We start from the raw sequence: 16,720 nt of genomic DNA on the forward strand, positions 1-16,720 counted from the left end.
AGACGACACCCATGCTACTCTGGACAGACTGTGCAGTCTTGACTTTGTCTGAAATATAAGGAAACAACAAAGAACTCAAGGCACAGATGTTCCTCTGTGAACAGCAACACTTCAAAACAGTGTACAGATTGAAAAACACTACAGAGCAAAGCTGGAGATTTGTTTCCCAGGGAAATAATAATGTTTTCAGTAATTGAAAAAACATTCTTGTTAGTGTTTCTCAGTACACCAAGAGATGACACACACACAATTTTGGTCCTAGGCTTGGTCCATTATTTGTTATGTTGGTGTGTCTTATGTTTGACCACAACTGATGATGCTTTAATTTAGATATGCCATATTGAACAGGATAGGAAGAGAAGTGCTTAGACTAAAGCCTTCTTTTTTGCTTCCCAGCCTCTTGCTTTCACAATGAGGTGGGAGTAGGGAAGTAACATGATTAAAATAAAATAGAAGGATGAACATTCAGATGTCTCGAAAGAATCTTGCCCAGAAGAAGGGAGGTAAATTTTATTAAGAAAACAAGATTCTCTTTCTCCTGTATGTAGGACACATTCAGATTTTATTTCATCTCTCAGGTACCTTTTTAGGCAAGCAAATGTATAGTTTGAAAAACCGGAGAAAGTTATCAGATAAGTAATAAAATAGAAATGTTGATACAAAGAAAGGAGCTAGCTCTACAACTTGCTAAGCTGTGTGAGTGTGTCAAACTGATTTCTGGGCCTCACTTTACTTAGCTGTCAAATATAAACAATAATGAAACACACACACACACACTTATATACACATCCTTCTGGCCACAGTCTCATGTTAATAATATGAGGATTTTATGAACTCATAAATGGGGAACTATTGCAGAAGTCAAATATGAGTGAAAGTTTTATTAGATAATCATTTACATATTTATATCATTAACCAGTTTCCAAAGAATATTATTGTTAATCAAAAGTTCACAGTAAAATCAGTTGTTTCAGACCAGTCAGAGTATGAGTATGTGGACCAGCAGGACAGGAGATGAGAGATTTGGCTATTATTGGTGAGTCTCAAGACATGGAAGGTTTCCAGAGTGATTTTCTCACACCCATTTTTCTCCCATTTCCCCATGCTTCTCACAGTGAGGCAGTTTAACCAGTCTACTGTTTCTACAGTGAGGCAGAGAAAGATGAGAGGCAGAGTAAGACAGAGGAGAGAGAAAGAGAGAGGGCTGCACTGGGCAAGATAGTCAGAGAAGTTCAGAGAAGAGAGGAAACACAGGCTCAGGAACTGGGGAGAAATCCTAAGATTCATCTTGGATAGTGTAATAATCTGTCTGTCACATTGAATTAAATGTAGTACACTCCTCAGTGCTTATCCAGTGCTGAAGCCATATTATACCAGTGACCATGACTGCTAGTTACGTTTCCAAGTTCAGTTTTCTCATGGGTCAAATCAGCAGTTGCACCTACCATATAGTATAGACATAATACATGATATTCTCTCTCACCCCGTAGCCTGCTGCTATCTAACAGTGCCCCAGGACTTTCTTCCTCATTAAGGCTAGTAATAGTAGTTTGCATTTTTATCCTTTACTTCTCCTTCACAGAAGCCTAGCAAGGATGGATCACTGCATGCCCTCCTAAGCATGGTAACATAGCTATCTTTTCACACAATTTATTATTGAATCATAGGCCAAAACCTGATTTTTCATTTGTAAAGCTCTTTCCTACATATTATCTTAATATTCACCACATTTCTCTCAAATAGAGCAAGTATCAAATTAGCTATCCTTTATTAAGTATTTGCTGAGCTTCAAACAATATGGTAAGCTCTTTAAACACATTATTGCATATATCCTTGAAATGGTTTCATAAGATGTATTTTTTCTATATCCCATTTTACATTTGATCTTAGCCCAAAAGGCAGAGACACAATTACATTCCATTTTACAGATGAGGTCACAAAATTGGTAAACGTCAGAGCTGGAATTTGCACCCAAATGTGTCTGATTCCAAAGTCCATATTCTTAAAAATTCCACTATTCTCAAATATTGGTAGTTCCATTTAAAGGAAGCTGCTCTTTGAACTAAACTGAAGTCTGGAGTCTGACAGTCGTAAGTTCAGTAAGATGCCATAAAAATATTACTGGACTTTTATGCCATTGATGAAAGGAATGATGGTTAATTCACTTGGATGCCTCTTTCCGTCCCTAATGCATAGCCTTGTATGTAGTAGGTACTTAATGCTCCTTTTGTGAGGGCATGCATAAGAAATGACTCAGATATAGAAAAGGATTTTTGTAATAGTCCACTCTGACTTGTGTGAGTAAAGGACTGAATACAGAATGGGGTTTCTGGCCTGAGCCTGTGTGGGCCCAGAGGAATGGAGCAGATAAGGATAGAGCATATATATGTATATCAAAACCTATAATCTGGGAAAATTCAAGAGATGAACAACAAGAAGGCTGAGATCCAAAATCTGGAAAAGTTGGGTCAAATGGGTCATTCACAGGGAGATAATGAGGTAAGTAGCAAGAGTTAGAACATGGATGGGGCCAAGGGAGTGAGAGAATCCAAGAGGACAAGAACCAGGGGCACAGAAGGAAGGTTTGAGAACAGACATAGAAATGGGCTTGCTACTGCACTAGGATACTTTATTAGATGCTCTGAGAATATCAATGCATTGGCTTCATTATATATTTTAGAAAAAACTCCAATAGATAATTTGAATCAGTGAACCAACACCATAGGACAGAAAGCCAGTAAAATATACTCAAATAAAAACTTCACTTCCTCACGGTGAACTCATAAGATGTCTGGGAGTAGACAACTTTGTCCTCAGGTAGACTTAAGATTCTGAAATTAGCGTTCACCAAGGTACATAGTACTAGAAAGATAAAATTATGCGCTTTGAGACACTTATGAAAACTGTAGAATAATTACATTTATCAATCCTGAAAGGCTTTGGTTTATGGGAGCCAGCAACATGAGCACATAGAAAAAATTGCTAACCTGTTCTTATTCTGCTTTAATCTAATATATAAGGCAGTTTGAATGGTCTTGATCAGAGGCTTGACTGAATTCAGAGAGATGTATTTGTTTTCCCTTTGGATATCTGAGTAGACTATACAGAGGCAGAGTTCAGCTGGTGGTGCAAAAGGTTTTTTCAATGATTAGAGAGATTCAAGGAAGAAATTGTTTGCTTTGTGAGAGGAATTGAGCTCCCTGACTCTGGGTGTTCAAATAGATGCTGGAAAGTTATGTGCTCTAATATTTTCATATGAAACTAGAAAATATGCCTGAATTTAATCTTGAAATCTTCTTTCTTTCAATCCTGAAATTCTATGAGTTCTAAAAACCATAAGAGGGTGGCAGGAAGAAATTTTTTTCTATAATATTACAGTCTAATTTTTAAAATGAGCTCTATGTAGTTCTCTAATGTTGATGTATATTTTAAGAAACTGCATTTATTCATTAAAATATTTCACCTTTTGAAATAATACTGGGTCCAAGATTAAGTAAACATTTGGACGTTTGATTAGAGAAATTTTGGAATGCACATAAGTGGAGGGCTTAAATACACTGTCCTATTCATTGTTACAGCTAGTTCAAAATCTGGCGCAATGGAAAGGGAACAGAACTAGGTTATGACCCAAATAATGGTCTAGGATTTGCAACCAATTCACTGTGAGACCTTGGAGAAATCCTTTCTTCTCTTATGACTTCTGGTTTCCCCTCCTAGAAAATGAAGGGATTGGATTCTATTCAATTAAAAAACATTCCACCTAGCAACACCCAATATTCTACTGTTGTTGGATGAAATGTTATCTTGCTGTTTTCAGTATTATTTCACTTTAGACCGTTTGACTTTATTGTCTTTCATCTGTTTCAAGATCTTATTCAATATATAACATTTTACTTTGTTAAGAGAAAAAATTAGAATAAAAAGTTAATTATACTTATTCATAATTATCTACTTCGCTATCTTTATTGATTTGTTTGTGTGTATTGGGATTTCTGTCTGAGATTATTTGCTTTTGACCTAAACAACTTTGTTTTTTCTTATAAGGCAAGTTTGCAATCAATAACTTTTCTGTGTCTGGTAGTCTTCATCTTTCATTTATGGATTATAGCTTTCCAATATGCAAGATTCTTAGTTGAGAGGTTTTTTTTTTTTTTCAAAACATTAAATATGTCATCTTGCTACTATCTGGTCTACATGGTTTCTGATGAGAATACTTTTGTATATGTTATTATTTAGGTTCCCTTGTATGTAACTACTCATTTTTATCTTGATGCTTTTAAGACTTTGACTTTGTCTTTTATCATTTTGACTAATTTTTCTGGGTGTAGATCTATTTACCTTTCTCCTACTTTGAGTTTATGGAGTTTCTCGGATGGTTTTCATCGCATTTGGGACTTTTCGGCCATCATTTCTTCATATGTATATTTTTTCTTCTCGATTATCTCTCTCCTCTTATTCTGATACTTCAATTATACTTACATTGAATCACTTAATTGTGTCCTACATTTATCTTATACTTTGCTTATTTTTACTCTTAATTTGCTACTTTTGTTCTTCAGATTGCATACATTTTATTTGTCTCTCTTTAAGTTCACTGATCTTTCCTCTGGAAGCGGAAATTGACTCTAATGAATTTTTAAAATCTGTTATTGTATTTCTGACTGCAGAATTTCATTTTTTGCAAGTTTAATTTTTAATCTGATGGTTTGGTATATAGATTTTGGAAATTTAAGAATATTGGTGATTTTACTAAATACAAATAAACATTTTTTCAGTTTTTAAAATTGTGGTAAAATATGCACAACATAAAATTTACTATTTTAACTATTGTTAAGTGTACAGTTCAGAAGAATTAAGTAATTTATATTTCCTTTTTAATAATTTATATCTCTTCGTTAATATTTTTGCTTGTATGAAACATCATTATATCTTCTTGTGCTTCTTTAATCATGGTTTTATTTAGTTCTTTGAGCCTATTTATAAGAAATGCTTTGAAGCTGCCCCTGCCAGATAACTTCTGGGGCCTCAAAGGCAGTTATAATACCCTGCTTTATTCTGTGCATGGTCCACTTGTTTTTGTTTCTTTGCTTGTCTTATATTTTTTATTTTTTAAAACAGGAATTTTATACAATATTTTGTAACAAGTCTGCAAACTAATTCACTATCCCCCCAGGGTCATTTTTGCTGTTGTTTGCATTTCTATGTTGTTAGTGACTTAGGTATTGTGCGGGGTGGAAGGTCTTGTTCTCAATTCTCATATTCTTGCCCTACAAGGAAGCTGAAATTAAGGAAATTGGGTTTCAGTATTTTTGTTCTACTATACCTGGGGAAGAGCATCTGCTTAATGAGTGGTAGTGGGATGGTAAAGGGAATATTAGTACTCTCAATCAGAAAAAAATACAATGGAAAGAGTAAAAATAGACTTCCCTTTTCGTCCTGAATACTGTATAGTATGCTGAACAGCTGAAGCAAAGATCATAACATTGATGTGGTTCTCAAATTACGCAGAGAAAATATGTAAAACAACTTAAACGTTGTCAAGTAAAGGGCTTAAAGAAAGATAAGGTTCCTTAACTTCACTTGTAGTGATGGAATGTTAACCCCTGTAGACTATAAAAATCATGTATTTATATTGTAATACCTACAGCAGCCACTAGAAAAATGTATACACTGACAAACACTCAAAAATAGAAAAATCATAATGGAATATGGCAAAAAAAAAAGGAAACACAGAAATAAAGAACCGAAGGAGCAAACAGAAAACAAAATAATAAAATAAGCTTAAACTTTGACTTACCAATAATTTCATTAGATGAAAATAGTCTAAGGACACCAAATAAGACAGAGATTGGAAAAGCAGCTTAGAAAACAGAACCCAAACATATTGTGTCTACAAGAAACTCCCTTAAAACATGGTGACATAAGTTGAAATAAAAGGATGCAAAAAAGTATGTCATGCCAATATTAATCAAAAGACAGAGGGAATGGCTATATTAACACAAAACGAAATAGATTTCATTGAAAAGAAAATTATCAGCAACAGAGAGAGATATTACGTAGTGATAAATGGGTCACTCCTCCAAGAAGACATAGCAATCTGAAATGTGAATGCACTAAACAATAATCCTGCAAAATAGGTGAAACCAAATTGGTAGAATTGAAAGAAATACCAGGCAAATCCACCATTACAGTTGCAATTTTCAACACTTCTCTCTAGAACTAGACAGAAAATAAGTAATGATACAGAAGAACTTGAGGACTCCATCAGCTAATAGGTTCTTAATAACATTTATGGAACACTTAACAACAGAAGAATACATATTATTTTCATGCACCTAGAGAGCATGTACCAAGGTATATCATATTCTGACCAGTAAAACAACCCTCAACAAATTAAAATAATTGGAATCATGCAGAGTGGGCTCTCTGGTCAAAATGAAATAACATTAGGATAATTGACAGACATATAACAGGGAAATAACAAACATTTGGGAGCTAAAAATCACACCGCTAAATAACTGTATTAATCAGGGTTCTCCAGAGTGACAGAACTAATAGGATGGATATATATACAAAGTGGAGTTTATTAAGTATTAACTCACACAATCACAAGGTCCCACAATAAGCCATCTGCAAGCTGAGGAGCAAGGAAAGCCAGTCTGAGTCCCAAAACTGAAGAACTTGGGGTCCAATATTAGAGAGCAGGAAGCATGCAGCACAGGAGAAAGATGTAGGCTGGGAGGCTAGGCCAGTCTAATCTTTTCACATTTTTCTGTCTGCTGTATATTCTAGCCATGCTGGCAGCTGATTAGATGGTGCCCACCAGATTAAGGATAGGTCTGCATTTCCCAGCTAACTGACTCAAATGCTAATCTCTTTTGGCCACACCCTAACAGACACACCCAGGATCAATACTTTGCATCCTTCAATTCAATCAAGTGGACACTAGGTATTAACCATCACAAGTCCACTCCTTGTCAACTTGGACCCATACATGTCTCCTGAGATCATACATAATCTTCAAATAAAGACAATAATAAGGTCACAATTATGCCTAACATAATACAACTATCCTTCATACAACCAGAAAAGTACCGAACCTAAACTCATATACTATTACATAAAGTTAACAACATTTAAATGCTGATACGAAGTCAGTAAATCTTATGTCACATGATAAAGAAAACAATGAAGATTTTTTTTTTTAGTACAAGTGTATAAATGCACAAACTTTTTTTTAAATTATACTTTAAGTTCTAGGGTACATGTGCACAACGTGCAGGTTTGTTACATATGTATACATGTGCCATGTTGGTGTGCTGTACCCATTAACTCATCATTTAACATTAGGTGTATCTCCTAATGCTATCCCTCCCCCCTCCCCCAACCCCACAACAGGCCCCAGTGTGTGATGTTCCCCTTCCTGTGTCCAAGTGTTCTCATCGTTCAATTCCCACCTATGAGTGACAACATGCAGTGTTTGATTTTTTGTCCCTGCAATAGTTTGCAGATAACGATGGTTTCCAGCTTCATCCATGTCCCCGCAAAGGACATGAACTCATCTTTTTTATGGCTGCATAGTATTCCATGGTGTATATGTGCCATATTTTATTAATCCAGTCTATCATTGATGGACATTTGGGTTGGTTCCAAGCTTTGCTATTGTGAATAGTGCTGCAATAAACATACGTGTTCATGTGTCTTTATAGCAGCATGATTTATAGTCCTTTGGGTATATACCCATTAATGGGATGGCTGGGTCAAATGGTATTTCTAGTTCTAGATCCCTGAGGAATTACCACACTGTCTTCCACAATGGTTGAACTAGTTTACAGTTCCACCAACAGTGTAAAAGTGTTCCTATTTCTCCACATCCTCTCCAACACCTGTTGTTTCCTGACTTTTTAATGATCGCCATTCTAACTGGTATGAGATGGTATCTCACTGTGGTTTTGATTTGCATTTCTCTGATGGCCAGTGATGATGAGCATTTTTTCATGTGTTTTTTGGCTGCATAAATGTCTTCTTTTGAGAAGTGTCTGCTCATATCCTTTGCCCACTTTTTGATGTTTTTTTTTTTTTTATTATACTTTAAGTTTTAGGGTACATGTGCACATTGTGCAGGTTAGTTACATATGTATACATGTGCCATGCTGGTGCGCTGCACCCACTAACTCATCATCTAGCATTAGGTATATCTCCCAATGCTATCCCTCCCCCCTCCCCCCACCCCACCACAGTCCCCAGAGTGTGATATTCCCCTTCCTGTGTCCATGTGATCTCATTGTTCAATTCCCGCCTATGAGTGAGAATATGTGGTGTTTGGTTTTTTGTTCTTGTGATAGTTTACTGAGAATGATGATTTTATCTTGTAAATTTGTTTGAGTTCATTGGGGATTCTGGATATTAGCCCTTTGTCAGGTGAGTAGATGATTACAAAAATTTTCTCCCATTCTGTAGGTTGCCTGTTCACTCTGATGGTAGTTTCTTTTGCTGATGCACAAGCATGTTTTTAACAAAAGAAGGAGAAAATACTCATGAAAATTACAATCCTCATTTCTGCAGCTGTCACGTGGTCATAGCTGGTACTGATTACTACCTTCTTCTATAAGCCATTCTGTATTCCCATTGCCTTCAGCAGGCACCTCAGCAGGTCACCTTTTTTTTTATTATTTTTTATTTTTTTCCTGGTGGAGTGACCCAAGCCTTCATTCCTGAAGGGTCTGGGCCATTTGAAGTCCTGCCTGGATTGAGCTGTTGTAGTTTCCCATTGACTTTAATCGCAGGGCATAGTAATACTAAGAGATGCCCTAACAGATCACCTTTATTCCAAGTATACCCTTCCTTACCTCCGTTGTGCAGTAGTAGTCTGATTTCTTCTTGACAGTCCAGGTCAATCACAGCAGCCAACACTGTACCTCCCTTCCTAGCCTGTTGGTTAAAGGTAGCAAGACCCCAAAGTGCCCAGGTGGCAATCTTAACTTCTGGTTTAATGGAATTGTTGTTGTGTCTCCTGGTGGCAGCATTCCTCCCTCTGGAACTAAGACCTCTAGGTGAGCAGAATGTAATGTCGAGGGAATAGGAAGCAAAAATTTTGCTAGTGGATCACTACGGGTGATGGGGAGTGGTGCCACTTCTGCTTCAGCACCTTGATTTATGGATCTGTGAATCCTGGCTATGAGAGAAATAGTACCATATATTGGAAGCTGATTCAGAGCATACACGGCCTTTTGGAGAACTTTGCCTCAGCCCTGCAAAGTATTGTCACCTAGTTGGCATTGTAATTTTGACTTCAAAAGGCCATTCCACCATTCTATCAATCCAGCTGCTTCAGGATGATGGGGAACATGTTAAGACCAGGGAATTCCATGAGCATGAGCCCACTGCCACACTTATTTAGCTGCAAAGTGAGTGCCTTGGTAAGAGGCAATGCTATGTGGAATGGACAAGGGATTCCATGAGTCCACAGATGGTAGTCTTGGTAAAAGCACTGCGTTCAGGATAGGAAAACCCATATACAGAGTAAGTGTTCTGATGAGGACAAACCTCTGCTCTTTCCATGATGGAAGAGGTCCAAAATAATCAACCTGCCACCAGATAGCTGGCTGATCACCCCGAGTAATTGTGCCATATCGAGGGCTCAGTGTTGGTCCCTGCTGCTGGAAAATTGGGCACTCAGCAGTGGTTGTAGCCAGGTCAGCCTTGGTGAGTGAAAGTCCATGTTGCTGAGCCCATGCGTAACCTCCATCCCTGCCACTACGGCCACTTTGTTCATGGGCCCATTGAGTGATGACAGGGATGGCTGGGGAAAGAGGCTAAGTGGTGTCCACAGAATGAGCCATATTATCCACTTGATTACTAAACTCCTCCTTTGATAAGGTCACCCATTGGTGAGCACTTACATGGGATACAAATATCTTCACAGATTTTAACCACTCAGAGAGGTCCATCCACATACCTCTTCCCCAAATTTCTGTCACCAGTTTTTCAATCATGCTTCTTCCAAATCCCTGACCATCCAGCCAAACCATAGGCTACAACTCATTAATCAGTATATAATTGCACATTTGGCCATTTCTCTTTTCATGCAAAGTGCACAGCCAGGTGTACTGCTCGAAGTTCTGCCCACTAGAAAGGTTTTCCTTCACCACTGTCCTTCAGCAATTTCCTCGAAATGGGCCGTAGTGCTGCAGCTGTCCACTTTCAAGTGTTGCCTGCATATTGTGTGAACCAGGGCCTAGTCTTCTCTTCCTCTGTAAAGTGGTCATAGGGAAATCCCCATAAGGCCATTGGTGTATTCTGGGGGAGAGAAAGCAGGGTGGGAGGAATGGAGACCATGGGCATTTGAGTCACTTCCACATGTAACTTTCTTTTGCCCTCAGGACCTGCTCGATCTTGATTATGCATATACCCCTTCCATTTGACGATGGAATGCTGCTGTTCATGACCCACTCTATGGCTAGATGGGTCAAAAAGCACCCAGTTCATGATGAGCAGTTAAGGTCACGTGCTCTCTTGATGACCCATAGTCAAACATTCATTTCCACCAAAGCCCAGTAACAGGCCAAGGACTGTCTCTCAAAAAGAAAGTAGTTATCTGCAGAAGATGACAGGATCTTGCTCCAAAATCCTAAAACCTTCCACTGTGATTCACCCACGGGGGCCTGCAAAAGGCTCCAAACAGCATCCCTATCTGTCACTGACACCTCAAGCACCATTGGATCTGCTGAGTCATATGGCCCAAGTTGCAGAGAAGCTTGCACAGCAGCCTGTACCTGTTGCAGAGCCTTCTCATATTATGGATCCCACTCAAAATTGGTAGCCTTTTGGGTCACTTGATAAATGGGTCAGAGTAACACATCCCAAAGAGGAATGTGTTGCCTCCAAAATCCAAATAGGTCCGCTAGACATTGTGCCTATTTCTTGGTTGCAGGAGGGGCCAAATGCAGCAACTTATCCTTCACCTTAGAAGGAATATCTATGCATGCCCCACACCACTGGACCCCTAGAAATTTTACTGAGGTTGAAGGTCCTTGAATTTTAGTTAGATTTATTTCCCTTCCTCTGTCATGCAAGTGTCTCACCAATTAGTTTAGTGTGTTTGCTACTTCTTGCTCACTAGATCCAATCAGCTTAAGGTCATCAATGTAATGGATCAGTGTGATATCTTGTGGAAGAAAAAGAAATCAAAGTCTCTGAATAAGATTATGACATAAAGCCATAGAGTTGAAATAACCCTGAGGTAGGACAGTAAAGGTATATTGCTGGCCTTGTCAGCTGAAGGTAAATCACTTCTGGTGGGCATTATAGATAGGAATGAAGTAAAAGGCTTTTGCCAAGTCATTGTCTTCCTACCAGGTACCAGACGATGTGTTAGTTTGCCCAAGTAATTAAACCATATCTGGTACAGCAGCTGCAACTGGAGTCACCACTTGGTTAAGCTTATGACAATCCACTGTCTCCAAGATCCATCTGTCTTCTGCACAGGCCAAATGGGACAGCTGAACAAAGATGTGGTGGGAAACACCATCCCTGCGTCTTTCCTTGATGGTTTCAGTAATCTCTTCAATCTCTCCCGGGATGCAATATTGTTCTTGATTTACTATTTTTCTAGGTAGAGGCATCTCTTATGGCTTCCATTTTGCCTTTCCCACCATAATAGCCCTCATTCTACCAGTCAGGGAGCCAATATGGGGGTTCTCCTACCTGCTAAGTATGTCTATGTCAATTATGCATTTTGGCACCAGGAAAATGACCATAGGATGAGTCTGGGGACCCACTGGAGCCACTGTAAGTCAGACCTGAGCTAAAGCTCCATTAATTCCCTGACCTCCATAAACCCCTGCTTTAACTGGATGACCACAATGATGTTTTGGGTCTCCTGGAATCAAAGTCAGCTCAGAGCCAGTGTCCAGTAGTCCCCACAATACCTGATCATTTGCCTTTCCAGAATGTACAGTTACTCTGGTAAAAGGCCTGAGGTCTCCTTGGGGAAGGATGAGAGAAATCTTAAAAGCATAAATTGTCATTAGTGTAGTGGGGTCCTTCTTCAAGGGTACTCGACCTTCCCTTCATTCAAGGGATTCTGGGACTGTAAACTGGGTCAAGTCTGGAAATTTATTGAGGGGCTGTGATTCTGTTTTTATAATTCAAATTAATCTTTTGTTCATTCAACCTAGAAATATTCTGCTTATGTAAATTAAGTAGGAATTCAGTAGGCTTCCTATCAATTTCACTTCTAGGAACACTGTAATTAATTAGCCAATGCCAGAGCTCTACACATGTCAGACTATTCTGATTATCACTTTGCCTCTGCTGTCCATTATGGTAGCTGTGCTCACCCTTGCTTTGAAGGTTGAGTGCTGCCACTTGGCCCCTGGCACCACGGGAACCAATTATTTTTATTTTATGTAAATTTTATAGCTGAGTGACTGTGGTTCTCACTGTTGGATCTGACATACAGAGAAGAGCAATTACAGGCCCTTCAAAGATGTAGGTGCTGCCCTCACAAATGTATTTCACAAGGCATTGATTGAGGGTATATCTTGTGGACCCTCCCAGCTGGGATGAGTAGGTCTAAAGTGACTATTCCACTCCAGCATCCCAATCTCCCTAAGCCTTTAGATTCTTTCCTCTACTTTAAATCAAGGGAGATCAGGCATTTCCAGCTCAGTTACGTGGCCCATCTCTTAATCCATATTTTAGCTAGCCAAGCACATACAGTTTTAGAACATTTTTTAACTTCTAGAGCTGCAATATTAAATGCAGAGTGCTTATGTAGTGGGCCCAAATCAATAAATTCAGCCTGATCCAACTCTATGTTCCTTCCACCCTTATCCCAAACCCTTAATATCTTTTCCCATGCCTGTTCTCTAGATTTCTGCTTATATAAATTAAAAAATTTAAGCAGCTTTTTTCGAGTGTCACACACACCCTTGTGAATTACACTCTGAACCTCTCCTCTAGGGGCCAGCCAGAACTTTAATCTAGTTATAGGTCTAGAAGCAAACAGGGATGTTGTAGGTGGCTCCTGAGGAGAATCAACATTATCTTGCCTCTCAACTGCCTCAGAGGAGACCATCACTGTTGCCTCAGGCAGCACCGGGTTTATCTTCTCAGACAAAGGTAGAAAGGCTGATGACAGCATGTATTGGGGAGGGAATGTTGGCACTACTGGGTATGGGGAAGCTGTTTCTTTTGAAAAAAAGTTTCATCAGTGTTTACAACTTCAGTTTCCCCAGCTTCATCAGGGTCCTCCCTCATGTCCCCATTTCAAATTGCAGAGTCCCATTCTTTTCCAATCAGTGCTCTCACTTTAAAAGTAGACACCTGGTGAGGTTGCACATACACCTTTTGTTGCAGGTCAGCCACTTGCATAATAAGAGATTGTGTCTGTTTTTCCACAATTTCAGCTCTTTCTCTACAGGAATAAGACTCTTATTCAGAGCAATCTTAGCAGATTTGAGGCTCAGTATCTTCTCAAGCTGGGAGTTAGAATTCCTGAATTCACCATTTTCTTTCATCACTTTGTCCACTGAACTTAGGAGCAACCAACCAGCTTCATTATGTTCTTTGGTTCTCCACATATGGTCAAAGGTAATATGTACAAAGTCACTAAACTCCTTGCCTCTCATAAGAGGTGAATTGGAAGTGTCAAATATATTTATTTTGCATAACTCTAAACAGTTCATGCCAAGGACTATCAGTGTTCTCCATACTATGAGAAGTAGAGTCCTTAGCATTTTGGATGTAATTATATTAAGCAACCAACTCTATACACACACACATATAGTAATATATATACAACTATATCTATATATCTATATATATGTATACACACACACATATAAAGGGAAGTTTAATAAGTATTAACTCACACAATCTCAAGATCCCACAATAGGCTGTCTGAAAGCTGAGGAGCAAGGAAAGACAGTCCAAGTTCCAAAACTGAAGAACTTGGAGTTCAATGTTTGAGAGCAGGAAGGGTCCAGCACGAGAGAAAGATGTAGGATGGGAGGCTAGGCCAGTCTACTTTTTTCACGTTTTTCTGCCTACTTTATATTCTAGACATGCTGGCAGCTGAATAGATGGTGACCACCCAGATTAAGGGTGGGTTTGCATTTTCCAGCCCACTTACTCAAATGTTAATCTACTTTGGCATCACCCTCACAGACACTCCCAGGATTAATACTTTGCATCCTTCAATCCATTCAAGTTGACACTCCATATTAGCCATCACAATATCCTATGGATTAAAGAAGAAAGCCTTAGTGAATTTAAAAAACACATTTAACTGGGTGAAATCGAAAATACAATATGTAAAATTTGTTGAACACAGCTAAAGCAGTGCTGAAAGAAAAATGCACAGCAATAAATGTTAGCAGTAGGTAAAAGAGAAGTCTCAAATTAATAATGTAGGCTTTCACCTAAGGAGACTACAAAGAGAACAACAATATAAACCCAAAGCAAGCAAAGAAATATTAATACATAATGTTGTAAATCAATAAAATTAAAAAAGAAATAAAATGGAGAAAATTAATAAAAGAAAGAAAATTAGTTCTTTAAAAATATTAATAAAATTGTCAAGACTCTTTGAAGAATTACAAATAAAAATAGAGAAAAAAATGCAAACTGCCAATATCAGGAATAATACCAATTCCAGAGACTATCCCTACAGTCTCTACAACCATCAAAAAAAGGGTAATTAAGAAATATTAAAAAGAACTCTAAACATATATTTAACAACTTAGATGAAATGGACAAACTACAACAGCCCAAGTAGTATGAAATAGATAATTTGAATTTTCATGTAACTTTTAAAGAAATTGAGGTTGTAAGTTAAATGCAATCTGCAGGCCCAGATGACTTTACTAGAGATTTCTACTAAAGTTTAAGTAAGAATTAACATTTATTCTCCACAAATTTCCAGAATATAGAAGGGAAAGAAACATTTTCCAAAAAGTATCATTTTATGAGGCCAATATAACCTAGATCCCAAAACTGGATATATGGTACAAATATCAGAGCAAACAGCTTTTTAATTCTTATGAATATGTTTGCAAAATCACTAAAAAAATTAGCAAATAGAATTCATGAGTGTATAAAAATAATTACACACTGTGACTAAATGAGCATTATTCCAGGTATGGCAGGCTGATTCAATATTGTAAAATCAATGAATACAATCCACCATATTAACAGGTTAAAAAAACATAATTATATCAACTTACACGGAAAGAAATTTGAAAAAAAAAAAAACACTTATTTATAACAAAAATTCTGGAAAAGTAGTAGAGGGGAATTTTGTGAACTTCATAAAGAACATCTTAAAACCAGAAACCAAAACAGTAGTTAACATTATACCTAATCATGAAAGACTGAACATTTTCCACCCAAGATCAGAAATACAGCAAGAAATGTCTGTTCTCACTATTCCTATTCAACATAGTGATGGAAGTTCTAGCCTCCACAATAAGTGATGTACAAGAAATTAAGAGTGTAAAGATTAGAAAGGAAAAAATAAAAACCTCCCTCTATGCAGATGATATGGTCATTTGTGTAGAAAATCCCAGGAAGAATTAAGAAAAGAGGATCCTGATAAAGATGGCTGACTAGGACAAGTTCCTGTCTGTAGCTCCCAGTGAGATAGACGCAGAAGGTGGGTGATTTCTGCATTTTCAACTGAAGTGCCCAGTTCATCTCATTGAGACTGGTTGGACAGTGGATGCAGCCCATGGAGGGTGAGCTGAAGCAGGGAGGGGTGTTGCCTCACCTGGGAAGTGCAAGGGGTCCAGGAATATTCTTCCCTACCCAAGGGAAGACGTAAGGGACTGAGCCTGAGTAACCAGGGACTCTGGCCCAGATACCACACTTGTCCCACAGTCTTCCCAACCCACAGACCAGGAGATTCCCTCCGGTGCCCACCCTACCAAGGCCTTGGGTTTCAAGCACAAAATTGGGTGGCCATTTGGGCAGACACCGAACTAGCTGCAGGAGTTTTTTTGTTTTCTGTTTTTTGCTTTTTTTCCTTACCCCAGTGGTGCCTGGAGCGCCAGTGAGACAGAACTCTTCACTCCCCTGGAAAGGGGTGCTGAAGCCAGGGAGCCAAGTTGTCTGGCTTGGCTGGTCCCACACCCATGGAGCCAAGCAAGCTACGATCTTGAAATTTGCTGCCAACACAGCAGCAGTCTGAGGTCAACCTGGGACACTCGAGCTTGGTGGGGGGAAGGGCGCCCACCATTGCTGAGGCTTGAGTAAGCAGTTTTATGCTCACAGTGTAAACAAGGCCACCAGGAAGTCTGAACTGGGTGGAGCCCACTGCAGTTCAGCAAGGCTGCTGTGGCCGGACAGCCAGATTACTCCTCTCTGGCAGGGCATCCCTGAAAAAAAGACAGCAACCCCACTCAGGGACTTATAGGTAAGACTCCCATCTACCTGGGACAGAGAATCTGGGGGAAGGGGCAGCTGTGGGAACAGTTTCAGCAGATGTAAACGTCCCTGCCTGATGGCACTGAACAGAGCAGTTGACCTCCCAGCACAGCGTTTGAGCTCTTCTATGGGTCAGATTGCCTCCTCAAGTGGGTCCTTAACCTCCAAGCATCCTGATTGGGCAACACCTCCCAGTAGGGGTCGATAGACATTTCATACAGGAGAGCTCTTGCTTGCATCTGGCAGGTGTCCCCTCAGAGATGAATCTTCTAGGGGAAAGAACAGGCAGCAA

General features: G+C 38.9%; 1 annotated feature.

The window, feature by feature from the left end:
• Nucleotides 16,209-16,708: an enhancer, noted in NCBI's record as "H3K4me1 hESC enhancer chrX:65709355-65709854 (GRCh37/hg19 assembly coordinates)". NCBI's record gives its function as "activates a minimal SCP1, AML or CMV promoter by ChIP-STARR-seq in primed H9 embryonic stem cells {active_cell/tissue: H9 hESC(primed)}" and the evidence as "EXISTENCE:reporter gene assay evidence [ECO:0000049][PMID:30033119]".

This window comes from Homo sapiens, chromosome X (genome assembly GCF_000001405.40).
Source record: "Homo sapiens chromosome X, GRCh38.p14 Primary Assembly".
NCBI lineage: Eukaryota > Metazoa > Chordata > Mammalia > Primates > Hominidae > Homo > Homo sapiens.